Raw genomic sequence first — 27,576 nt, forward strand, 5'->3', positions numbered from 1 at the left:
CTGAAAAACCAAACAGGGGATCATGGAGCAATCCACAGATTAGCAATGGCAACCATCCTGAGAAATGGGAGGGGAAAGGGCAAGGGTGGTGTTACTGGCTCTCAGAGGCTGAAAGTGTTGCTGGAGCTAGGACTGAGGACGTGGAAAAACCACAGTCATTGCTGGAAATGCTGTCCGGAGCAGACAGTGGGGGAGCAATATTCTGGCTTCTCCCCTCCTAAAACTCCAGTTTCCTGTTAATGTCTTCCATTGGCCAAACTTAGCCAAAATCCAGTTAATCATGAAAACTTGGGGATGAAATTTGAAAGGATCGTTCCTCTACAATACAGCACAGAGCAGAGATCACAGGAAATGATGCAAAGAGCAAATAAGCAAATTACAAGTAAGGGCCCCATCAAGGAAGAACCATTGTGAGGAGAAGAATGGAGGCTGGGAGCAAAGAAAACAGCTGAGAACCTAGGAAACAGTACAAATGTGGGGAGCTGAGACTCCCAACCATAGAAGCATCCAAAGGGAAGGAACAGTTGGGAGGGTACAAAAATCCAAAAGGCCAATAAATATAAGAAAAGATGCTCAACCTTGGCTATCAGGGAAATGAAAATTAAAACCATACATATACACATCAGAATGGCAAAAATTGAAAGCTCTGACAATACTAAGTGTTGACAAGAAGATGAGACAATGGGTAATATAATTGGTATATTCTTTGCTTCCTTGTGGGAGCATAGTTTGATATGACCACTTTGCAAAAAAAAAAAGCAGTTTCATGTTATCCAGTAAAAAGAAAGGTAGGCATACCCTATGATAGATAATTGCATCCCAGCTATATACTCTATCAACATGTGTGCACATGGTTACCATCAAATATACCAAGAGGATTTACAGCAGCATTGTTTATATTTGCCCCAAAATGGAAATAACCAAATATCCAATCAGTAATGGAAATACTTTTTTAAATTAGTGTATATTTTCACTTATTCATACAATGGAATATAGTAATAAAAATGAACTACAACTGCATACAACCAAATAAATGATTCTTACAAACACAATGTTCTGTGTATGTAAAACATATGACCTAAAATAATATATATAAAATGATTCTATTTTTATTAGGTTCAAAACTAGGAAAGTCCAAAATTAAAAATAATGAAAACACAGCTGGTAAGAGAAAAGCAAGGGGATTATTACCATAAAATAAGGATAATGGTTATCTCTGAAGGGGGAGTTTCCAGCGATTCTGATAATGTTCCTTTTCTTAAAGTGGGTGGCTTTAAGTTACTTGGGTGTTTGCATTATAACTATTAATATTTGTTAAACTGTGCATATAAGTGTTATGCACTTTCCTGAAAAAATGGCAGATAGGAGGTAGGACTGACTTGCAGCTCCCACTCGGATGGACAGAACAGTGTGTGAAGACTCCCATTGTGAACTTTTGCCTCAAGAACTACCACAGGAACATACCAGGAAAACCAAAAGAATTCAAAGACCTTTTGAAGGAAGCGGCTTGCCACTGCAAACTCTGTGAGACAGCCCAAAAACTGAGTGCCCAAAGTGTGTGAGAGGGAAAGTCTGCCTCTGAACACACATCCTAACTGGGGAACCTGAAAATCCAGATCATGGGAGAAGGAGTTAACCTTACCTAGAGCTGAAATAAATTTAGAGAGCCGAATGAAATATAAAAGTAGAAGCAGCAAAAAGATCTCTGTAGGCGCTCCTGGTCCCCAGGGAAGCCATTTCTGACTTTATCTTACAGGGTTCCTTGGGGAAGGCTGCCAGTGGAATTGGGGAAGGATCACAGAGAGAAGGAAACTTCCAGCTGAACTTTTTAATAATTTCAACTGAATGGGATGTTTTCCTGGGCAGAATGGGGGTGAGGTGTGAACAGGAAGTGCAGATACCAGCAGAGAAGCTGTGGCAGGAGGGGAGAGGTGGGGCCTGAAAGCCCTTCCTGCTTTCTCAGCAGGGAGCCTTGTAGCCGGGGGCAAGATCTCAGCCCCACTCACCGGCTGCCTGGATACCAGTTTGGTACTGTTGGTGGGGCACGGTGGGAGTGAGACTGGCCTTGCTGGCTGTGTGGGAGCTTGGTGAAGCCTGTCACTGATGGCTTTCCTCCTGGTGACTTCCCTGGTGGGAAGGTCACTTCCCCGGTGACCTGTATGACATAGTAGCAGAGACAGCCATAATCCCTCTGGAAAAATAACTCCATTGGCCTGAGAACCAACCCTCATCCCCCACAGTAGCTGCAGCAAGCCCCACTCAAGGAGAGTCTGAGCTCAGAAACACCTAATTCCTCCTCCACTTGATGGTCTTTCTCTACCCTCCCTGGTAACTGAAGACAAAATAAATAATCTCTTGGGAGCTCTATGGCCCTGCCCATCACCTAAGAAACCCGAATACTTATCTAGGAGACCTTAGGCAAGCTTGTATCAGCTGATGCTCCCTTGAAAGTGCTACCTCCTGGCTAGAGGCCAACCAACTGCTAGCACAACCAGCATTCGAGAAAGCCAGTGCACTAAACAAAACTACAACCAAGGACCCTAACAAAGTCCACTTCACTCCCCTGCTACCTCCACTGGAGTAGGTGCTTACATCCATGACTGACAGACCTGGAGATGAATCACACCACAGGACTCTTTGCAGACACTCTCCAGTACAGCTCAGAACCTGGTAGGTCTGCTGGATGGCTAGACCCAGAAAAGCAATAACAATCACTGTAGTCTGGCTCTCAGGAAGCCCCATCCCTAGGGGAAGGGGAAGAGCACCACATCAAGGGATCACTCTGTGGGACGAATCTGAACAGTAGCCCTTGAGCCCCGGATCTTTCCTCTGACATCGTCTACCCAAATGATAAGAAACCGGAAAAGTAATTCTGGTAATATGACAAAACAAGGTAGTTTAACATCCCCAAAATATCACACTAGCTCACCAGCAATGGATCCAAACCAAGAAGAAATCTCTGAATTTCCAAAAAAAGAATACAGAAGGTTGATTATTAAGCTACTCAAGGAGGAACTAGAGAAAGGTGAAAACCAACTTAAAGAAATTTTAAAAATAATATAAGATATGGACAAAAAAATCTCCAGAGAAATAGATAGCATAAATAAAAACAATCACAAGGTCTGGAAATGAAAGACACACTCAGAGAAATGCAAAATACACTGGAAACTTTCAACAATAGAATCAAACAAGTAGAAGAAAGAACTTCAGAGCTCAAAGACAAGGCTTCTGAATTAACCCAATCCAACAAAGAAAAAAAAATTTTAAATGAACAAAGCCTCCTAGAATTTTGGAATTATGTTAAATTACTGATCCTAAGGATAACTGGTGTTCCTGAGGAAGAAGAGAAATCTAAAAGTTTGGAAAGCTTATTTGAAGGAATAATCAAGTAAAACATTCCTGGCCTTGCAGACAAATACAAGAAGCTCAAACAACACCCAGGCAATTCATCACAAAAAGATCATGACCTAGGCACATAGTCATCAGGTTATCTAAAGTCAGGATGAAGAAAATAATCTTAATAGCTGTGAGGCAAAAGCATCAGGTAACCTATAAAAGAAAACCTATCAGACTAACTGCAGATTTCTCAGCAGAAAGCCTACAGGTTAGAAGGGATTGAGGTCCTATCTTTAGCTTCCTTAAACAAAACAATTATCAGCCAAAAATTTTGCATCCAGCAAAACTAAGCTTCATAAATGAAGGAAAAATAAAGTCTTTTTCAGACAAACAAATGATGAGAGAATTCACCACTCCAAGCCAGCACTACAAGAACTGCTCAAAGGAGTTCTAAATCTTGAAACAAAAACCTTGAAATACACCAAAATAGAACCTCCTTAAAGCATAAATCTCAGGGTCTATAAAACAATAACACAATGAAATAAAAAACAAGATATTCAGGCTGCAACTAGCACAATGAATAGAGTAGCACCTCACATCTTAACATTAACATTGAATGTAAATGGTCTAAATGCTCCACTTAAAAGATACAAAATGGCAGAATGGGTAAGAATTCACCAACCAAGTATCTGCTGTCTTCAAGAGACTCACCTAACACATAAGGACTCACATAGACTTAAGGTTAAGGGGTGGAAAAAGATACTCCATGCAAGTGGACACCAAAAATGAGCAGGAGTAGCTATTCTCATATCAGACAAGATAGCCTTTAAAGCAACAACAATTAAAAAAAAACAAAGAAGGACAAGATATAATGATAAAAGGACTATTTAAACAGGAAAAGATCACAATCCTAAATATATATGCACCTAACACTGCAACTCTCAAATTTATAAAACAATTACTACTATTTCTAAGAAATGAAATAGATGGCAACACAATAATAGTGGGGGACTTCAATACTCCACTGACAGCATTAGACAGGTCTTCAAGACAGAAAGTCAACAAAGAAACAATGGACTTTAACTATACCCTAGAACAAATGGTGGACTTAACAGATATTTACAGAACGCTCTACCCAACAACTGCAGAATATGCATTGTATTCATCAGCACATGGAACATTCTCCAAGACAGACCATATAATAGGCCATAAAACACGTCTCAATAAATTTAAGAAAACAGAAATGATATCAAGTACTCTCTCAGACCACAGTGGAATAAAATTGGCAATCAACTCCAAAAGGAACCCTCAAAACTATACAAAGACATGGAAATTAAATAATCTGCTCCTGAATGATTGTTGGTACAACAATGAAATCAAGATAGAAATTAAAAAATTATTTGAACTGAACAATAATAGTGACACAACCTATCAAAACCTCTGAGATACAGCAAAAGCAGTGCTAAGAGGAAAGTTCATTGCATTAAATGCCTACGTCAAAAAGTCTGAAAGCGCACAAATCGACAATCTAAAGTCACACCTCAAGGAACTAGAAAAACAAGAAGAAACCAAACCCAAACCCAGCAGAAGAAAAGAAATAACCAAGATTAGAGCAGAACTAAATGACATTAAAAAAATACAAAAGATAAATGAAACTAAAAGCTGGCTCTTTGAAAAGATAAACAAAATTGAAAGACCATTAGCAAGATTAACCAAGAAAAGAAGAGAGAAGATCCAAATAAGCTCAATTAGAAACGAAACAGGAGATATTACAACCGATACCACAGAAATGCAAAAGATCATTTGAGGCTCCTATGAATATGTTTATGTGCACAAACTAGAAAACCTAGAGGAAATGGATAAAATCCTGGAAGTATACAATCCTCCTAAGTTAAACCAGCAAGAAATAGAAACTCTGAACAGACCAATAACAAGCAGTGAGATTGAAATGGTAATAAAAAAATTGTCAACAAAAAAGTCTAGGACAAGATGGATTCACAGCTGAATTATCTCAGACATTAAAAGAAGAATTGGTACCAATCCTATTGAAACTATTCCAAAAGACAGAGAAAAAGGGAATCCTCCCTAAATCATCCTATGAAGCCAGTATCACCCTAACACCAAAATCAGGAAAGGACATAACAAAAAAAGAAAACTACAGAACAATATCTCAGATTAATATAGATGCAAAAGTCCTGAACAAAATAGCAGCTAACCAATTCCAACAGCAGAATATCAAAAAGATAATATACCATGATCGAGTGGGTTTCATACCTGGGATGCAGGGATGGTTTAATATACACAAATCAATAAATGTGATATACCACATAAACAGAATCAAAAATGAAAATTGCATGATCATCTCAATAGTCACAGAAAAAGCATTTGACAATATCTAGCATCCCTTTATGACTAAAACTCTTAGCAAAATCAGTATAGAAGGACATACCTTAAGGTAATAAAAGCCATCTATGACAAACGCACAGCCAATATTATACTGAACAGGGAAACATTGAGACCATTTTCCCTGAGAACTGGAACAAGACAAGAATACCCACTTTCACCACTTCTGTTCAACATAGTACTGGAAGTCCTAGCCAGAGCAATCAGACAAGAGAAAGAAATAAAGGGCATCCAAATCAGTAAAAAGGAAGTCAAACTGTCATTGCTCACTGCTGGTATGATCCTATAACTAGAAAACCCTAAAGACTTATCAAAAAAAGCTCCTAGATCTGGCTGGGTGTGGTGGCTCATGCCCATAATCCTAACAATTTGGGAGGCCGAGGCAGGTGGATCGCTTGAGGACAGAGTTCAAGACCAGCCTGGAGAACACAGCAAAACCCCATCTCCACTAAAAATGTAAAAAATTAGCTGGGCATGGTCGTACACGCCTATAATTCCAGCTACTTGGGAGGCTGAGGAACAAGAACTGCTTGAACCTGGGAGGTGGAGGTTGCAGTGAGCCAAGATCATGCCACTGCACTCCAGCTTAGCTGACAGAGCAAGACTCTCTACCCCCCCACAAAAAAAAAAAAAAAAAAAAGCTCCTAGCTCTGATAAATGATTTCAGTAAAGTTTAAGAATACAAAACCAATGATGTATACAAATCAATAGCATTGCTGTACAACAGTGACCAAGTTGAGAATCAAATCAAGAACTCAACCCCTTTTACGAAAGCTGCAAAAAATAAAATAAAATACTCAAGAATATACCTAACCAAGGAGATGAAAGACCTCTACAAGAAAAACTACAAAACACTGCTGAAAGAAATCATAGACAACACAAACAAATGGAAAAACATCCCATACTCATGGATGGGTAGAATCAATACTGTGAAAATGACCATGACTGCCAAAAGCAATCCACAAATTCAATGAAACTCCCATCAAAATACTATCATCATTTTTCACAGAACTAGAAAAAACAATCCAAAATTCATATGGAACTAAAAAAGAGCTCACATAGCCAAAGCAAGACTAAGCAAAAAGAACAAATCTGGAGGCATCACATTACCCAACTTCAAACTGTACTATAAGGTCATAGTCACCAAAACAGCATGGTACTGGTATAAAAATAGGCACTTAGACCAATGGAACAGAATAGAGAAACCAGGAATAAAGCCACATACTTACAGGCAACTGATCTTTGGCAAAGCAAACAAAAACATAAAGTAGGAAAAGGACACCCTATTCAACAAATGATGCTGAGATAATTGGCAAGCCACATGTAGAAGAATGAAACTGGATCCTCGTCTCTCAGCTTGTACAAAAATCAACTCAAGATGCATTGAAGACTTAAATCTAAGACTCAAAACTGTAAAAATTCTAGAAGATAACATCACAAAAACTCTTCCAGACATTGGCTTAGGCACAGAGTTCATGACCAAGAACCCAAAAACAAATGCAACAAAAACAAGAATAAATAGAAGGAGGCCAAGGTGGGTGGATCACGAGGTCAGGAGATCGAGACCACTCTGGCTAACATGGTGAAACCCCATCTCTACTAAAAATACAAAAAATTAGCCAGGTGTGGTGGCAGGTGCCTGTAGTCCCAGCTACTCGGGAGGCTGAGGCAGAAGAATGGTGTGAACCCAGGAGGTGGAGCTTGCAGTGAGCAGAGATTGCGCCACTGCACTCCAGCCTGGGCGACAGAGTGAGACTCCATCTCAAATAAATAAATAAATAAATATAGATGGGACTTAATTAAACTAAAAAGCATCTGCACAACAAAAGAAATAATCAGAAGAGTAAACAGACAACCCACAGAGTGGGAGAAAATATTTGCAAACTATGCATCCAACAAAGGACTACTATCCAGAATCTACAAGGAATTTAAATAAATCAGCAAGAAAAAAGCAATTAATCCCATCAAAAAGTGGGCTAAGGAAATGAATAGATAATTCTCAAAAGAAGATATACAAACAGCAAACAAACATGAAAAATACTCAACATCACTAATTATAGGGAAATGCAAATCAAAACTATGATGCAATACCACCTTACTCCTACAAGAAGGGCCATAATTTAAAAAATCAAAAAATAATAGATGTTGATGTGGATGTGGTGAAAAGGAACATCTTTACACTGCTGGTGGGAATGTAAACTATTAATACTACAACCACTATGGAAAACAGTGTGGAGATTCCTTAAAAAACTAAAAGTAGATCTACCATCTGATCCAGCAATCCCGCTACTGAGTATCTACTCAGAGGAAAAGAAGTCATTATATGAAAAAGACACTTCTACATGCATGTTTATAGCAGCACAATTCACAATTGCAAAAATACGGAACCAACCCAAATGCCCATCAATCAACAAGTGGAAAAAAAAGTAGTGTGTGTGTGTGTATATATATATACACACACACACACACACACCATGGAATACTATTCAGCCAAAAAAAGGAATTCAATAATGGCATTCACAGCAACCTGGATGGAGCTGGAGACCATTATTGTAAGTGAAGTAACTCAGGAATGGAAAACAAAACATTCTATGTCCTCACTTATAAGTGGAAGCTAAGCTATGAGGATGCAAAGGCATAAGAATGATACAATGGACTCTGGGGACTTGGGAAGGGTGGGAGGGGAGTGAGGGATAAAAGACTACACATTGGGTACAGTGTACACTGCTCAGGTGATGGGTGCACCAAAATCTCAGAAATCACCACTAAAGATCTTATCCATGTAACCAAACAACACTTGTTCCCCTAAAAACCTATTGAAATAAAAAAATAGATCAAGACACCAAAAAAAAAAAAAGAAAAAATGAATTTTCTATGGTATATACGCTCAAGAGTAAAAACATATTTTTTAAGGAATAGAGGAAAAGAAGAAGAAAGTATCTCAAGCATCTTTTTTTCATAAAGTTATTGGAGAATGCGCTCCATCAAAACAAGGGGGCAAACCAAGAAAGGAACAATTTTAGATTCAGGAAACAGGACATCCAAACAGAAGAGAGGATGGGGGAATTCCTAGAATGCTAGAGCCGGTTGAGCCCAGGTTGAGAGCTGTGCTCCAGAAAGCAATCAGACAAAAATGGTCAAAGTATCCAGAGAGATTTCAACAAGGAGATGAAACTGACAGATTGCCTGATGTATTTGAAAGGATTAGGAAGGTATTTATCCAATTAAAGAATGTTGGGGATGGAATTATTAATAAATATATAGAAAACTAAGCATCAGACATACAAACAAAAACAATTATTAATTCCAGAAAACAAAAATTGTGCCTAAATGGAATCATATAGCTCAGGTGTAACTGAAGTACATTTTCACTATAATATACTGTAAATACTAAATTTGGATCTAATCACAATTATGGTATAAAGAGGGAATATGGGAGTGTGTTTCTAGTGTGAATATGGGGTAAAGGGAGCTAAACAGTCATCTTCCATAGCAGGAAGTCAGTTAATAATAAAGCTTAGGCCGGGCGCGGTGGCTCACACCTGTAATCTCAGCACTTTGGGAGGCTGAGGCGGGTGGATCACAAGGTCAGGAGATGGAGATCATCCTGGCTAACACAAATACAAAACGTTAGCCGGGCGTGGTGGCGGGTGCCTGTAGTCCCAGCTACTTGGGAGGCTAAGGCAGGAGAATGGCGTGGACCCGGGAGGCGGAGCTTGCAGTGAGCTGAGATCACACCACTGCACTCCAGCCTGGGCAAGAGAGCGAGACTCTGTCTCAAAAAAAAATAAATAATAAAATAATAATAATAATAATAAAGCTTAAAATAGAAAAATGACAAATAATTGTATACACCTGTTACTTAAAGAAAATGGAAATAAAAAAACACACTTTTTTTCTAAGAAAAAATGTAGTTGTCTCTCGCAAATGGAAAATGAGGTAGGATGGGAAAAGGACTGCTATTTTCTGTAATAACTTTAATTAAACTCTCTGATTCTTTAAATTATAGGCATATCCTGTTAAACTAAATATGTTAGTTTTTAACATATCCTGTTAAAAACTAAAACTTAAAAGGATGAGACACCATATCGTACTTGAGGTTGTGATGCTGGCGAAATCATCATCAGGTGCTTTGACACCCCCCATCCCATGCCCCCAACAACCACCACATGCACACACACCCTGGCCTCTGCCCCACAGCTCTCTGGACCACAGTCAGGGCAGGACCAAGTCAGGGATAGAGGGGGCTAGACTGAGCGGACCATGAGCACAGATAGGTCATAGAAGAATAGCAGTGTATTCAATGATATATACACTAAAATTATACCATGACAAAGTGGGATTACCCCAGGGTTGCAAGCAAGTGTTGCCTCATATAAGGGGTTCTATTAATATGCTACACCACATCAAGACGCTAAGCAGGAAAAGCATCTTATAATTTTAGTGCATACTTGACAGGTATTTTATAGAAATCAACAATCATTCCTAATAAAAATTTCAGAACTAGAATTAAAAAGAATTCCGGTTAACAGCATAGAGCATCCATATTTAAATTAGCAATAATTCCTCTACATTCAGAATATATAAAGATGCCTACTATTATCATTGTCATTGAAATCATTCATAAAAATATTATTATTTAACATTGTCTGGAAAGTTTTTAAAAACAACGACAGAAAAGATAAAGACACCCCAATGGAAATAAATACTGAAAAAGAAGAGACAAAAATATCTCCTGTATATGATGTGATTACATACCTGGAGAGTTAAATCAGCCAAAATGATTCAAATATAAAAATATCCAGTGATCCTGTTAAACTGTAAATCAGATGTCTGTTTCATGCCCTCTCAACTTTGTGGCTTCCCATCTCCCTCAGATTAAATCCAGTGTCCTTGGCCCCATACCATCTGGTAACAACCTTGTTTTGTCCAATTCTCCACCTCTTCTGCTTCACTCCAAACACATGGCTTTCCCTGTTTCTCAGTGATATGCTTAGGCTTTGTGTCCCCACCCAAATCTCATCTTGAATGTAATCCCCATAATCCCCACATGTCAAGGGAGAGACCAGGCTGAGGTAATTGGATCACGGGGGTAGTTTCCCCCATGTTGTTCTCATGACAGTGAGTTCTCACGAGATCTGAGGTCTGCTGGTTTTACAAGTGTTTGATAGTTCCTCCTGCATTCATTCTCTCACCTGCCACCCCCCTGCGAAGAGGTGCTGATATGTTTTGGCTGTGTCCTCACCCAAATCTCACCTTGAATTGTAACAATCTCCATGTGTCAACGGCGGGGCCAGGTGGAGATAATTGAATCATGGGGGTGGTTCCCTCGTACTGTTCTTGTGGTAGTGAATAAGTCTCACAAAATCTAATGGTTTTATAAATAGGAGTTCCCCTGCACAAGTTCTCTTGCCTGCCACCATGTAAGACGTTGACTTTGCTCCTCCTTTACCTTCTGCCATGATTCTGAGACCTCCCCAGCCATGTGGAACTGTGTCCACTAAACCTCTTTCCTTTATAAATTACCCAGTCTCAGGTATGTCTTTATTTGCAGCGTGAGGACAGACTAATACAGGTGCCTTCCACCATGATTGTAATTTTCCTGAGGCCTCCCCAGCCATGCAAACTGTGAGTCAATTAAACCTCTCTTCTCTACAAATTACCCAGTCTCAGACAGTTCTTTATAGCAGTGAGAGAACAAACTAATACACTCAGGATGCCACATATGTTCCCATCTCAGGGCCTTTGCACTTTCTGTTCCCTCTGTCATCTCATCCAGGTCTGCTTGAATGATACCTTTTGATACTGGCCCTCCCTGTCTTCCCTATTGCAAATGTCACTTTGTCAGTGGCCTGTCCTGAACACTAAATCTTTCCCTGGTCATTGTTTGTCCTCTGACTATGCTTTATTTTTTTCTTTATAAGATTTATTGCTGCCATGCTTATTAGTTATGTTTTTGCTTATTGTCTCTCTTCTCGCTAAAATGTAATCTCCAAGAAGATGAAAATTTTAGATTCTCAGAACCTAGAAGAATATCCGGCCCACAAAAGGCACCTGGTAACTCGATGTTGAATAAATGATTAAATGAAAGGCATATAAAACACACAAGAGATAGGTAAAAGAATTACTATCTCTTCTTCAGAAAAATAAGAAGTACTCACAGATTGAGATTGACAATTTCCATACATAATATAAAGCTTTTCTGTAATAAAAATAAAAATTAAAAAGGACAACAAAGTATTTGAATAAACAAAACAAAAATGATTAATAGTTATCACCTACAAAGAGTGCATTTAAATTTATAAAAACACCAAGACCATAACAAACAGATAATTCACAGAAAATTATATACAATATAAACAAATACATGGAGAAATAGTAATCTTCACTAGTAAACAAAGGAATGTAAATTAAAGCAAGTTGAAATACTGTTTTATCTGTCAAATTAGAAAAACAGTTTTTGCTAACTGCTATTGAAGTGGAGAAAAAGCTAGTAGATTCATTCCAGAGTGATGGCACTGTATTAAATAATATTTTTGCAAAGCAATTCAGCAATATAGAGAAAGAGCCATATACATGTCTGTGTCCTTTACTAGTAATGCCTCTATTAGGAATTATTCCTATGGAAATTCAATAGCAGCAAAAAGCTATTTGCAAGAAGATGCTCACTGTAGTGTTATCTATAAAAGCCCCAAACTGAAAACCATAAATGGCCAACATTAAGGGGAATGGTTTAATAAATTACAGCACCTCTGTACAATGGAATATTACGTGGCCATTAAAATGGTAATTATGCAGAAACATGAAAAATGTTTATGATCCACTGGTCATTGAAAACAGGCAGAATACAAAATAGTAGGCATATACCACAGACAACACTCCCAGCATGTATTACATTTAGAAGAGATAATAAGTAAAAATAATATAATAGTTGGTTTGGGGTTAGTAGAATTTTATAGGTGACATAAGAAATATTATTTTTTAAATGTTCTCTTTAAATTTTCACACAGAAGCTCTTGTAATTTCTAACAGGTTAGATTCTGAAAGGCTCTTCCTGTGCCTGAAGTAATACTGCACCAACTATCAATTTGTACATAGCCCTGTAAAACTTTATCATCTTTACTTTATTTACACTACAATAGCAAGACTCTTCTTACCACCACTTTTAACACTCCCTCTGCTGTGGAGTTTAAAGGCAATGCAGAAATATGTCGAACAAAGGAGGAGGCAAACAAAATAAGATGGAACACTAAGGCTAGAGCGAAAATGACCCTGGAAACCACTCCAGCCACCTGTCCATGGCCGGCAGAGCTAATGTGTTTTTGCCTTGGCCGGAAGTTTTGCTTATGTGTCTGAAAGCTGTTAGGTGGAGGGGAGTCTCCACTTTGCCCAAACCAGAACACATGGTCTAGAAACACAGCTGGGACTTGACTCAGCCACCCTCTAAAACCCAGGCACAAGCCCAAATGGATTTCCCCAGTGACATGCGCAGGGGTCAAGTGGTTCCACTGATCCAGAACCCCCAACATCTTTGAAAACAAGCACAGCTTCATAGCATAGAATGGGATTGGGGGTCCAGTCTTCCCAGAATATTTTCTTTCCCATCTTCCCCTTGGGGAACAGATTCACCCACCTTCCTTGTGATACCTTCCTGATCTTTCTGCTAGATCCTAGCTGGGAGACCTTGAACAAGTTAGTTAAACTCTCTGCGCCTCACTTTCCTCCGTTGTAGAAAAGGGGATAAGAAAAGCCCCTACCTCACAGCACTATGTGAGCATTAATGAGTTAATATGTGTCAAGTGAAGGGAACACTGCCTGCCATATAACACTCAGATGATGCTAGTTATCACTAACTGTTGTCCTTGTGGTGGAATTGACCTGATCTCTCTTTTGCTCCACTGTGGTATGTGCCCATACTTAATAAAAAAACCCAGTCCCAAACTTGGAATGGGACAGAACCTTTTTGCATGATGTAATTTCCAAGCTCTTTCTGGGAAGAAATTAGCATTGATAAAATGCTTAAGCAATTTTCTGACAAACTTTAATGAGATTAAGACCTCTTCTGGGAAGCCAGATACCCACCCACTCAGCTGACTGTCAGTCAGGATCTAATGATCTTGAAACAATCTTTTTTTTTTTTTTATATCCAGTCTAACAGTGATTACTTAATCATCCTGTTTTTCTATAAAATTTTTCTATAGGAGACAATCTCTGAATTAACCCACTAATGCTTCTTTTCTTGTGATTTGCTTGAACTTAAACTTCGGCATGTGTTTAAAAGTAAAATATCTGACCAGGCATAACCTCTCATGCCTATAATCCCAGCACTTTGGGAGGCTGAGTTGGGAGGATCATTTGAGCCCAGGAGTTCAAGACCAGCCTAAGCAACATAGCAAGACCTTGTTTCTACTAAAAATAAAAATAAAAATAAATTAGCTGGGCGTGGTTGTGTAGTCCCGGCTACTCAGGAGAATGGGGCAGGACAATCACTTGAGCTGAGGAGGTTGTGGCTGCATTGAGCCATGATTACACCACTGCATTCCAGCCTCGGTGACAGAGCAAGAACCTGTCTCCCCCCAGAAATAAAGAAATAAAGAATATAAAAGAAAATGTTTGAACAAAACAAACAAGTCTATTATAGCATATAAAATAGTTGATAGCATTTATTTGTATTCTTAGTTCTAACATTCATACTAGGGGAGGGACCCTGGGAAGTAAGGACCACACTTGTGATGCAGGATCTAAAAAGAAATGATTTAGGCAGATAGTGAGGGTAAAAGAGTCTTCAGTAAGGATTTCCTTTTAACAAAAAGCAGCCCTCAAATCATTTCCAACAAAAAGCAGCCCAGAAAATCAAGCTGCAGCCTGAAAAAGCAAGCTAGAATCTTGCACAGGTGAATGCCAGCAGCTGTGCCAATAGGAAAAGACTACTTGGGGCTAGGCATGTTCAACATGGCGGCTCCATCTTCCCTTTTCTTTGTCAACCATGTGTACAGTAAGGATCAGACAATGTGGCACTGGCCAGGTAGAGAACCCAATCTGCATACTAAAAGATCAGGGCGGGATGGCCAGCTTCTTCGTGGACTATGCAAACGTCACACCTGCTCTGACCAATCTCTGCGGCCCTATGTGAATCAGACACCACCTCCTCAAGCTCACCTATAAAACCCTGTGCATTTCACCATGGAACTGGGAGACCCATTCAGGTGTCCCTCTCTCTCTCTCTGCAGGAGAGAGAGCTATTCTCTTTTCTCTTTCTTTTGCCTATTAAACCTCTGCTCTTAAACTCACTTCTTGTGTGTCCACGCTCTCAATTTCTCTGGTGTGAGATGAATCTTGGGTATTTACCCCAGACAATGACACCACTTGATTTGTTTTTACCCATATTTTTATCTAGCACTTAATATTGTGACTGATATAGAAAAGGTAATCAATAAATGTTTGTTAAGAGAATAAATTAATGAAAGAACAAATAAACTTTTAAAAAGAATTGAAAAAAGCAGCACTTACTATTAGCCAGAAGAACTGGGAGACTGCGTTACAAAGCACTACTGGCTTTGGACTCAACCCAGGGGTTGAAACATGTTTTTAGCTGTGTGGTTTTGGGAAAGTTTATCCACCTTCCTGACCTTCCATTTCTTCATAGCACTATGGAGAGAATAGTGCATTGTGAAGGTATTGTGAGTTGGGACAACTTGTACAGAGAATATAACACAATGGCAAGTACATTTGGGCCTAAAGATATCTTAGTTCTCCCTCTTGCCACTGACTCTTTTTTTGTGATTGGAAAAGTTACTTCCTCTCTCTGGGCCTCAGTTTCCTCGTTCTTAAATAATAAAAAAATCCCTCATGGGGCATGGCTCCTCTCTCCCTGCCTTCACTTTCTGCAGGCACTGCTGGTGTGTGCTCAGGTGTACCTGCCTCTTCCCGTCAGGTCCCTGCTTTGCATTTGCACCTGCCCCCCTTTTGTTTGTAGTCTAAGTGACATGGGTCTCCCTCTCTTTCCTCCAACTGCATCGCTCAATCCTGCAATGTGTCACAATGGTGTGGAGCTGTCATTCTGGATGATGTGGCGTGACCTCACACTGATGCCATTCCCCTCCCACCAAGCCAACCTGGCTTCCTCCTCCACCCATGGAATAAGCCAGAATGCTGAAAGTGGGAGGGAAATAGAGCACCAAGGTTAAGGAGGCAGTCCCTGACATTTATTAGTGGAATTTCTGTTTCTATGATGAATGTAGAGATTTGGGGTGACTGCCTCTTAAGGTGATATGTAGGGAGATGATGAATCCCAGTGTTTTCCTTAAAGATCCATCCAGTTTAGAGGAAGACATACATATACAAAGTCAATATTGAAAAGATTGTATAGACCTATAGAATAGAGAGGAGGGGAAAGAGATGTGCTTGGACTTAACAGCAGTGCAAAGGCTGCTGGAGCAGTGCCCTGAGCTGGCCCTTTAAGGATGGATAGGATTCACTCAGATTTGTGTGGGTGAATAGGCAGAGCCTTCCAGGGCTCTGAAACTGATGGGGTTATGGTGGAATAGGGGTTGAAAAAAAGAGAAAAAGAGAAAAAGAAAAAAAATCCCTCCTGTGCCAGGGATCTAGTCAAGGTAAAATAAATACCTTTAAAAATACTTAAAAAAATAAAGATCCAGGGCAGACTGCAGCTTTCAGCCAAGGTAGAGAGAAACAAGGACTGGATTTACCCTCCCACCTGGAAAAATTAAAATACTAGACAATATAGGTGAAACAACAGTTTTCAAGACACCAGACATGAGGCACTGAAAGACAGTGGTGCTTGAGAGATGAGAAAAACTAATGTGAGCCCTACAATTGCCCAAACTGTAGCCTTGAGAGAGTGTCCAGGCCATAGAGCAGGAAGGGAGAACTGAGGCACTAGCATTCTTCCTGAGTAGAAGAGACAGAGCTGAGCATCCAGGGAGATCAAGGCAGTTAAAGTTCATAGGACAGAGCACCAGAGAGAAGAGAGAGAAAGAACCTCAGAGATCTGTAGAGGGCTCCCCTCAAGTAATCATCAGAGTACCGATTAGTGCAAACATGTCAGGAAAATACCCAAAGCCAGGAAAAGAACCACCCAAAAAGGGGTAAAAGAAATAGTACTGAAGTAACCCTCAAAGGGTTAACAAGAATTCTGGATAGAAATACAGTTATAATTAAGCATTAGTCAGGCTGTGCTTTGACCTACTTCCTTGTAACTGAAAGTCACAGTAGCACTAGATACTGACCACATGCATCCCCATTGTTCCAATAGGTAGGATCTCAAAAATTGCTTGTTTTTTAGATCCTAAATTCCAGCAAAACAGCTAATACCAACCAGCCTGAAGACCCCCATAGAAGAAGTGAATCTCATGAGAATACAGTTTCTTCATCACCTTGTCCCATGACTCTGATATAGGAGTTAAGAAGAAATTACTTATGCAGATAGTGAGGGTATGGGAGTTGTTGGTAAGGTTTTCCTTTTTAACGAAAAGCAGCCCCCAAACCATGTTCTAATAAAGAGCAGCCTGTAAAATCAAGCTGCAGACATAGACAAGAAAGCTGGAAGCTTACATGGGTGAATGCCGGCAGCAAAATACTACCTAGGAATAGGCAAGTTCAAAATGGCGGTTCCATCTTCCCTTCTCTCTTTGCCAGCCACGTGTACAGTAAGGAGCAGACAAGATGGCCCTGGCCAAGTGGAAAGCCCATTTGCATAATAAAATTAGGGTGGGGTGATCAGCCTTCTCCTTTCCCCGCTGCTATGTAAACATCACACATGGTTGAACCAATCTGTGGGCCCTATGTAAATCAGGCTCTGCCTCCTCAAGCCTGCCTATAAAATCTGCTGCAGTCCGCCGCTTTTCCCTTTTTCGGACACCTCTATCCTCCTCTCTCGTTTCTTCTGCCTATTAAACTTTCCGCTCCTTACCCCACTCCATGTGTGTGTGTCCATGTCATTAATCTTCTTGACACAAGACGACGAACCCCATGTATTTACCCCAGACAACAATACAGCTTCCACTTTACCCTGCATTCTTTGACCAATCAACAATCTCCACACTTCAGCCCATTCCAAAGCCCTTAAAAACCCCAGTCCTAAACTTCTTGGGGAGGTAGATTTGAGGTTTCCTCCCATCTCCTCATTCAGTAGCCCTATGATTAAACCTTTCCCTGCTGCAATCCAGTATCTCAGTGTACTGACTTGCCATGCACATCAGGCAATGAACCTATTATGGTTTGTTCATGATGCTCACATGGATCAGGAATAATGCTGCTCCCACTGGCCAGACTTGAAAACCTCACAATTCACAGGGCTAAAATACTAAGAAAGATCTTAATACTATCCTAGACTACACATTAATCTAGTCCCACCGAACAAATCTTATAAGCAAGGTCCAACAGGGTCAAACTTTTTCAAATATCTTAACTGAGCCCTTTAATAAAGCTCAAGAAAATTTAAAGGAATACAAAAATGTCCAGCACACAGGATAAAATTCACAATGTCTGACATCCAATACAAAATTACCAGATATGCAAAGGAGCTGGAAAATATGGCCCATATTAAGGAGAAAAAGCCAATCAATCCAAACTGACCCAGAACTTACAATTAGCAGAGAAAGACAATGAAAAAGGTATTATAACTGTATTCCATATGTTTAAAAAGTTAAGATATAGAAAGTAAGATATAAAAAGACTAAAACTTCTAGAGATGAAAACTACAATATTTAGAATGTGTTAAATAAAATTTCTAAGAGGCCATTGGTTTGGACTGAGCTCCTGCAGTAGGCCCAACAGACCAAACCAAAATGGAGTGTAACTCACACTGAAGTTCCACACCACCAAGCTGAAACTAAGTTGTTTATCTGACCTTCCAAGAAATTAAGAGAGAAAGAGAGATATAATAGTCAAATCTCTAAATAGGGAAGTTTTAGCCAGCATGATAAGAAAGTCCTATCTGCTTTAATCTTTACAAGAAAAGTAACTTTGAAATGACCAATCTACTTTTGTTATTTGGTTCTCTTTCCTGGGCCCTTCTGTCTATAAAGCCAACCTCCCCAGCTCAGCTCATTAGAACACTCATTCCATTTTGTAGAATGAAGTGTTGCCCAATTCTAGATTGAAAATAAAAGCCAATTAACATCTTTAAATCAGATGTGTTGTAATTTTGTCTTTTTCAGATGAAAAATACACTGGATAGAATCCAATAACAGCAGATAAGATTTTGTTCCCTCCACCCTCCCCTATTTTCCAAAAAAGAATAAGGAATTTGAATACATAGCAAGAGAGGTTATCCAAAAAGAAACACATAGAGAAAAAAGAATTGTAAAAGTGTACAGAGCAAAAGTGCACTGTGGGGACAACTTCAAGCAGCTTGTTCTATGTGTAATTAAAGTCTCCAGAGGAAAGGAGAGAGTTGGAGGACAGGAATAAAGTATTTGAAAAGATAATAGCCAAAAAATTACTAAACTTTATTTTTAAAAAAAACTATAAACCCACAGTTCCAAGAAGCTCAAGAAACCTGAAACATAAGAAATATGAAGAAGGTATACCAAGACATGTCATAATCAAATTGTTCAAAACCAATAATAAAGACAAAATCTTAAAAGCAACCAGGGTGAGTGGAGGGGAAGACACATTACATGCAGAAAAAAGTATAGGGATTACAGCAGATTTCTCATACAAAATAATGTGGGCAAAAAGACAGTGGAGAAATACCTTTAAAATACTGAAAGAAAAAATTATCAACCTGGAATTTTCTACATGGTGAAAATGCCTTTCTAAAGCAAAGGTAAAATAAAGACTTTTTCATACATACAAAAGCTCAAAAAAAAAAAAAAAATAGAAGGCCCATATTATAAGAAGTGTTAAAGGACATTCTTCAAGCACAATGAAAATGAAGCCAGGTGGAAATATGGATCTAGACAAAGCAATGATAGCTTTAGAAATGGTTTTGTGCATTTATATCTGTATTTTAAAAGATAATTATACAAAAATAATAATATAATATGGGGTTTATAACATATGTAAAAGTAAAATGTATGACGATATTATCATTAAGGTCAAAAGGAAAGAAATGAAAATGTACTATTGTAAGGTTTGTATACTATTCACAAAGTGGTATAATATCATTTGAAAGTAGACTTTGACATTACAGATATATATTATAAACCTGAGAGCAACCTGAGGTAATACAGGTAATACAAATATAGGAAATACAGGTAGTTAACAAAGGAGATAAAAGGGAATCACAAAAATATTCAGTCCAAAGGAAGGCATAAAAAGAGGAAAAATTGAACAAATAAGAGGTGAGATGAATAGAAAACAAATAGAAAGATGATAACTCTAAACCTAAACATCAATAATCACATTAAACATAAGTGATCTAAACATTATAATTAAAAGGCAGAGACTGTTAGATTGGATATAAAGGAAGACCCAACTATAAACTGAAACCCACTTTAAATATAAAAAAAGATGAAAGTAAAAAGGATCAAAAATATATACCAAGCTAATACTAATGAAAAGAAAGCTAGACTAGTTATATTAGTGTCAGACAAAGTAGATTTCAGAGCAAAAATATTACCAGGAATAAAGAGAAAATTCCATAATGATAAAAGGATCAATTCATCAGGAGGAGGACATAACAATTGGAAACTACTATATACCCAATAACAGAGCTTTGAAAAACTTGAACCAAAAACTAAACAATAAAGAGATACCCTTTAAAGCCATATATCTATTAAGGTAATTAAATGTGTACTTAAAAACTTTCCCATAAAGAAAATTTTAGACTCAGCTGGCTTCACTGGTAAATTCTACTATTTAAAGAAGAAATTATACTAATTCTACATGAGCTCTTCCAGAAAACTGAAGGGAAGGGAATATTTCCCAACCCATTCCATGAGGGAGCATTACCCTGATACCAAAACCAGACAAAACATTACAAGAAAAGAAAACTACAGACTAATACCCTTCATGAACAAGATACAGAAATTGTAAATGAAATTTCAGCAAATAGAATTTGACAATATTTTAAAAGGATAAAATATCAGGACTAAGTGGTATTTATCTCAGGACTGAAAGGTTGGTTTAACATTTGAAAATCAGTGTAAGGCGCTGTATTAACAAGCTGAAAAAAAAAAAACTAGGATCATGCAAATAGATGCAGAAAAAGCATTTGATAAAATCAAACATCCATTTCTGATTAAGAAAAAAACCTATCAATAAATATCAGCTGGGCATGGTAGCTTGCACCTATAATCCCACCCACTTAAGAGGCTGAGGCAGGAGGATCACCTGAGCCCAGGAGTTCAAGGCTCCAGTGAGCTATGATTGCACCACTGCACTCCAGCCTGAGTGACAGATCAAGACCCCATCTCTAGGAAAAAAACAGAAAACAAAAATACGCTTGGAATAGAAAGAAACTTCTTCAACCTACTAACATGTACAAACAAACCTATAACTAACATCATATTTAATGATGAACAACTGAATGTTTTTCTTCTAAGATCAGAAAAAAAGTCAAGGCTATCCACTCTAACTACTCCTATTCAACATTGTCCTGAATGTTCTAGCCAGTGCAATCAGAAAAGAAGTAAAAAGCACCCAGATTGGAGCAGAAGTAAGACTACTTTTATTCACAGACACCATGATTATCTATGTACAAAATACAATGAAATCCCCAAAAAGCTACTAGAACTAGTAAGAGAGTTGTACCACGTTTGTGATATATAAGATCAATGTATAAATATTAATTGTATTCCTACATACTAGCAACAATAGGAAATTGAAATAAGAAAAGCTACTGACAGTAACACCAAAATATATAAAATGCTCAGTAATAAATACAACAATAGATGTGCAAAATCTGTTTTAAGAACTATAAATAGTGCCAGAAAATTAAAGATCTAAATACACCATGTTCATAGGTTGGAAGATTATTGATATGTCAATTATCCCCCAAATTGATCTGTAGATTCAATGCAATCCCAATCAAAATCCCAGCATATTTTTTTTTCTTTGAGATGGAGTCCCGCTCTGTCACCCAGGCTAGAGTGCAATGGCATGATCTTGGCTCACTGCAACCTCCATCTCCCAGGTTCAAACAATTCTCCCTGCCTCAGCCTCCTGAGTAACTGGGATTACAGGCGCACACCACCACGCTCCACTAATTTTGTATTTTTAGTAGAGACGGGTTTTGCTATTTTGGCCAGGCTGGTCTGGAACTCCTGACCTCAGGTTATCAGCCTGCCTCAGCCTCCCAAAGTGCTGGGATTACAGGTGTGAGCCACTGCGCCCTGCCTTTTTTTGTTTGACACTGAGTCTTGCTCTGTTGCCCAGGGTGGAGTGCAGTGGTGCGATCTCAGCTCACTGCAACCTCCACCTCCCAGGTTTAAGCGATTCTCAGACCTCAGCCTCCCAAGTAGCTGGGACTACAAGCTCATGCCACCACACCCGGCTAATTTTTGTATTTTTAGTAGAGACAGGGTTTCACCATGTTGCCCAGGCTGGCTTTGAACTACTGAGCACAAATAATCTGCTTGCCTCAGCCTCTCAAAGTACTGGGATTATAGGCGTGAGCCACTGCACCCAACCACAAACAAATGATTTTTGACAAGAGTGTAAAAGCAATTCAATGGGAAAAGGATAGTCTTTTCAACAAATCTTGATGAAACAATGAGATATTCTTTTGCAAAAAAGCTAAATATATACCTTCTACCATACACAAAATAAACTCAAAAGGGACCACTGTCCTTAATGTAAAACCTAAAACTATAGAATTTTTGGACAAAAACAAGAGAAAAATCTTTCTGACCTTCAGTTAGGCAATAATGTCTTAGATATGACACAAAAAGCACTATACATAAAAGAAAAAAACTGAAAAATTGGACTTCATAAAAATTTAGAACTTTGGTCCTTGTAAGATACCATGAAGAGAATGAAAAGATAAACTGCAGAAGGTGAGAAATATGCAACCCACATATCTGGAGTATATAACTCCCAAAGCTCAACAATAAGAAATCAAACAACTGTCCCTCAAATGGGCAAAATATTTGAACAGAACTTTACCAAAAAAAATATGAATGGCAAGTAAGCCCATGAAAAATGTTCTGTGTCATTAGTTATAAGGGACATGAAAATCAAAACCACAATGATATATCCCTCCACAACAATTAGAATAGTGAAAATAAGAAGACTGCAAATACGAAATGTCGAGGACAATACAGACCAACTAGAACTCTCCTATATCACTGATAGGAATGGAAAATGGCACAACTATTTTGGTAAGTAGTTTGGCAGTTTCTTAACAAGTTAAAGATATACTACCACACAGTCCAATCATTCCCTTCCTAGGTTTGTATCCAAGAGAAATGAAAACATATCCACACAGACTCATACATGAATGTTCATAGAAACTTTATTTGTAATAGCCCAAAACTGGAAACAGCCCAAATGTCTATCAACAGGCAAATGGATAAACAACCATGGAATACTGCTCAGCAATAAAAATGAATGAACTACTGATACATGCAACAACTTGTATTAATCTCAAAATAACTATGCTGAGTGAGAGAAACTGCATAAAAAGATTACATGCTGTGTGAGCCTATTTATATAAAATTCTAGAAAATGTAAATAATCTGTAATGACAGAAAGAAGATCTGTCACCGAGCATTCCCTTCCCCCTGGGCACTAGGAGTGGGAGGATATGATCACAAGGGGACACAGGAAACTTTTGGGATGAAGGATATGTCTATTATTTTGATGTGGTGATGATGTCATAGATGTATGCATAAGTCTAAACTTACCAAATTGTCCACTTTAACCATGTGCAATTTACTGTAATTCAGTTATATCCCAATAAAGCTGTTGAAAACAACATGCGCTACAGTAAGGAGTGGCTGTGATCAGCCTGGGTAACCTCCTGGAGTTGCAGCAGATCAAGGCAGACTGCAACAGCCACCACTCAAAAGCTCCCTTCCGGTCAGGGAGATGGTCTATGCATCCCACCTACTAGCTCTGACTCATATCTGGTGCGAGAACTGTAGTAAAGTTTTCGAGTTGGCAAAACCAAAGCACAAGACACCAGTGAAGGCCATGTTCGCCATAAGACCTTATCTGAAAAGCCATTTTGACGTCCTTGCTCCTGGCAGCAAAGCCTGCCCTAGGCCTGGTGATCTGGCCTCCCTGTCTACTCTGAGCATCTTGCCTTCTCCTCCACTGAAAACCATTCTCCAGAAAATAAAACACAACAAAATCAAGATAAAAGGCATCAGCATGGCCCCACACCAGGCTTTAACGGGCAAATTTGTATGAGCAAGGGCAAAATGAAGGGCAGCAAGGAAAACACTGAATTAAAACCCACTTAAATTAAGAATTCAATAGCAGCCACTTAACTAATAAATAGTATTCCTCTCTGCCATTGATTGACTCAGGATTGTAATGAAGAGTTCCAGGGGCAACAGCGGAATGTTTTAATTCATCGGATAAACGTCACCAACTCTTGGGTTCCTAAGATTGAATGTGTTGGAGAAAAGCGGAATGGAGAGCCCACAGGAATTAATTCTTGGAACATCCCTGCAGGGTCAGCATTATTATACCCTGCTTCTAGGTGGATTTAATATCTCGAGTGCTGGGCAGGGCACCGTGTGCAGACAGGGGCTCCATGATCGTTATCAAGTGATGATGGGGCAGATAGACTAGAGCTGGAGCTCACACTGGATCAGCTGTCTTATTTATTTCCAAGTTAAGAGACTGAACAAATGGACTTCTGTTATTATCATGGTGATGATTATTGCTGTGGTGCAAAATAATGGCTTGGCGCTGCCGGAACTATGTGGGAAAGACTGCACTAAGTCACTGGCTCCAGAGAGAGTTGTTCTCATAGGATGATGTTGTGCAAAATAAGAGTTCATCTGAAGGATACCCCTGATTCCCACCCTAGATGCCCACCCAACAGCTCTGCCTGGAATCCTCGCCTCTGAGTCACTCCATGCATCACAGAGCATCTTCACAGCATGGACACTAGGCTCCCAAATAGACCCTAAGCTCTCACTGTCGCTGCTTCTTACGAAGCAAGTGCCAGGTGGCATCAGCTCAGGCTCTGTGGGCTCCCCAAATACCCCATTAACCAGGACATGGTGGTCATGGAAAGGCATTTTGGGGATGTGAGCACTCTGAATCTTCCACATCATCATTAAGATCTATTTTCTGCACCAAATGGAAGAGGCAGGTCTGGCCTTGGCCTTCCTTGTACAGAATACCTTGAACTGGAGCCATCTTAGCATCTGTGGGTGCAGGCAGAGCAGAAGGGCCAGAAGGAAGGTGCAGAGGGGACAAAGGTCCTCTTCCCTATCCTCTGGGACCTTCCAGTATATCTAGTCACAGGGCTAGGGATTCACATCCCTAGAAAGTCACAGGAGTATGTGAAGAAAGCATGAACATGGAAAAGAATCTGAAATATCCTTACATCTATTTTCAATGACTGTCTCATTGTACAGCTGGGGAAACTGAGGCACAGGAGAGTAAAATGACCGGCTCAAGGCTGCACAGTGAGAGGACGGCAGAGCTGGATGTCAACCCAAGCTCCCTGGCTCATGGTCTACCCTAGCACTTCATGCTTCCAGCCTCAGGAGAGTTCAGTGAAGTTGAAGGATGAAGTACTTGGAAGGTGGCCCATAACCAAGCAACAGGGGTATCTTGACCACTTACAGAGTCCACACCCTGTGGTCCTGCCCTGCTGGGATTCTGGGAAGAAGTCTGCTACTTCCCTATCCTCAGAGAGCTTGCTGTCTCACTAAGGAGATGAGGCCTACCCACAAGAAACTCTCTAAGACAAACACCAGGCAGTATATGAAACCAGGGCTCATATAGATGATGTGGAAATGCTCAGAAAACAGCACCAGTGTAGAGTGGTCTCATCTTGGAGTAAGCCCTACAGACTTACTTTATAAATAAGGAAATCATCAGCATACAGGGAAATGTTACCCAGCCTTTCTTTCCTGTGTGACATACCCAACAGACAGGAACACATTAACACACAACCACTAACCCAATTTAAGTTCGAGAAGACTGCATGTCCGTGTCACTCCATGTTGCTAGGTTTTGTCTTTAGGGCTATGTGGCCAGATGGGGCAGTTTCAGGCTCCACCAAGACCAGCCTACAGAGCATGCCCCAGACCAGTTATAGAGCCTGACAGTGCCCAGCAGCCAGTATCACTGGATGCAGAATCTGCGAGCCAAGAGCACTGGCTGGGCCTCACTGCAGAGCTGTCCACCTTGTTTCCACTCTGTCTTCTCATGCTCCTACCACCAGAATGCCTTCTGTGCCCACTCAGGGTAACCTGCACCTGGCCTGGCCCAGGTTGCTCATAACATGAGCCACTGTTCCTCTCTGGCCTAGAGTGGCCCCAGCTCCCATGGGAACCATGTGCTCCAGCCTGATTCAACTCCTCATTGTCCCACAAACACCATAAAAGTTCCTGTCCCAGTGCTTGGTGGACACTTTCCCCCACCTAGCAAGGCTTTCAGGTCTCTCCTTCTGGCTAAATCTACCTGCTCTTCAGGACCATCCCCCACACTCTGACTGCCTCAGCCCACGTGGATCTTTCTGTCCTCTGGGCCCCCAGTACACTTGCAAGTAGCACCACTCACGTGGCACCAGCACGAGCAACTCGTGTGGGCAGGGAGATGCTGGTGCAGCCTCCTTGCAATCATCAGCAACCTGAGGGCAGCATCACACTGTGCTGATCTCTGCATCCACTCTGCAGCCACTCGTCCAGACATCAGAGTTAAGGATTAGAGAAAACAGAACTGTCTCTTCTTTTTCTCAAAGGAATAGAGGACCTTAAAAAATGTACTTAATGAATGCATGCAGCTGAGCATTCTGGTGTCCCGAAAATGACCTTCCTGACCTCCTTCCTGGCCTCTCTCCACAACCTTCCACAGCAGTCCTGAGAGGGTCAGCTATCTCGCTCTTGACACTGGGAACTGTGTCTATTCATGTCCCTGTGGCTCCTTGGTGACAATAAAGCTGCTAAAAAAAAAAAAAAAAACTCAGCAGAAAGGAGCCAAGGATATAAACAGACAATACATAGGAGGAAAAACAAATCATAAACCAACATATTAAATAGTTAGTAATAGATTAGTAATCAAAGATATGCAAATTAAACCACTCAAGCCCCCCAAATGCAATATAAGGCAATAATATACCATTTTATAGTTATAAATTAGCCCCCCAAATGGAGTTAATAAATCAAATGCTGGTAGGACTGTAGACAAGTGAGAACATTTGTAAACGGCTAGTGACATTAAAATCTGGTGCAATATTTGGGTAAAATATTTAGCAAAACACATCAAGACCTATAAAGATATCTGTACTCTATAACCTAGTAATCCCACTGTTGGGACTTCATCCTAAAAGAAGGAACAGAAATCTGCAGTCCCACCATTGCTGAGTCAGCAGTACCTAAGGCCTGTGACTGTTAATACCTCCAGTGCGTGGGTGACATCTCTACAGTCAATTAATGAGCCAGTCTTCATAAGATATTACATTAGCCAGCCTGGCTAACATCAATTACAGTCAGAAGCTGAGCTGTAATCATGGGGCGAATAAGACTGAGCTGCTCATTGTTTAAAATGACCACAGAATGAAATCACCTTTATGAGCACAACTGGGATAAATCAGAGAGAAACAAAGAAAGGAGCACTCGCCGCATGTCACTCCCCACAGCTGGCTCTGTGTCACTGCACATCCTCACAGATGCAGCTAGGCTTGCCTGCCTACTCTGGGAAGCCAGAGCCCCACTCCCCAGGCTTGGCTTGATGAAGGAC

General features: G+C 39.8%; 1 protein-coding gene and 1 long non-coding RNA gene across 16 annotated transcripts in view; one reads left to right on the forward strand and one right to left on the reverse strand.

Annotated features, from left to right (window-relative positions):
• ZBTB7C (zinc finger and BTB domain containing 7C) overlaps positions 1 to 27,576 on the reverse strand; it is a 385,914-nt gene that overhangs the window by 210,240 nt on the left and 148,098 nt on the right. The window contains exon 6 of one of the 15 annotated variants that reach the window (NM_001371290.1): positions 15,250 to 15,387. The exons of the other annotated variants lie outside the window; for them this stretch is intronic. The gene's annotated coding sequence lies outside the window, so the exon portion shown is untranslated. The remainder of the gene's footprint in view (positions 1 to 15,249; positions 15,388 to 27,576) is intronic. 15 annotated transcript variants of the gene reach the window in all.
• Positions 15,390 to 15,926, forward strand: ZBTB7C-AS2 (ZBTB7C antisense RNA 2). The gene has a single exon (NR_172886.1). It is a non-coding gene; the product is annotated as a ZBTB7C antisense RNA 2 (long non-coding RNA).

Source organism: Homo sapiens, chromosome 18 (assembly GCF_000001405.40).
Source record: "Homo sapiens chromosome 18, GRCh38.p14 Primary Assembly".
NCBI classification, from domain to species: Eukaryota; Metazoa; Chordata; class Mammalia; order Primates; family Hominidae; genus Homo; species Homo sapiens.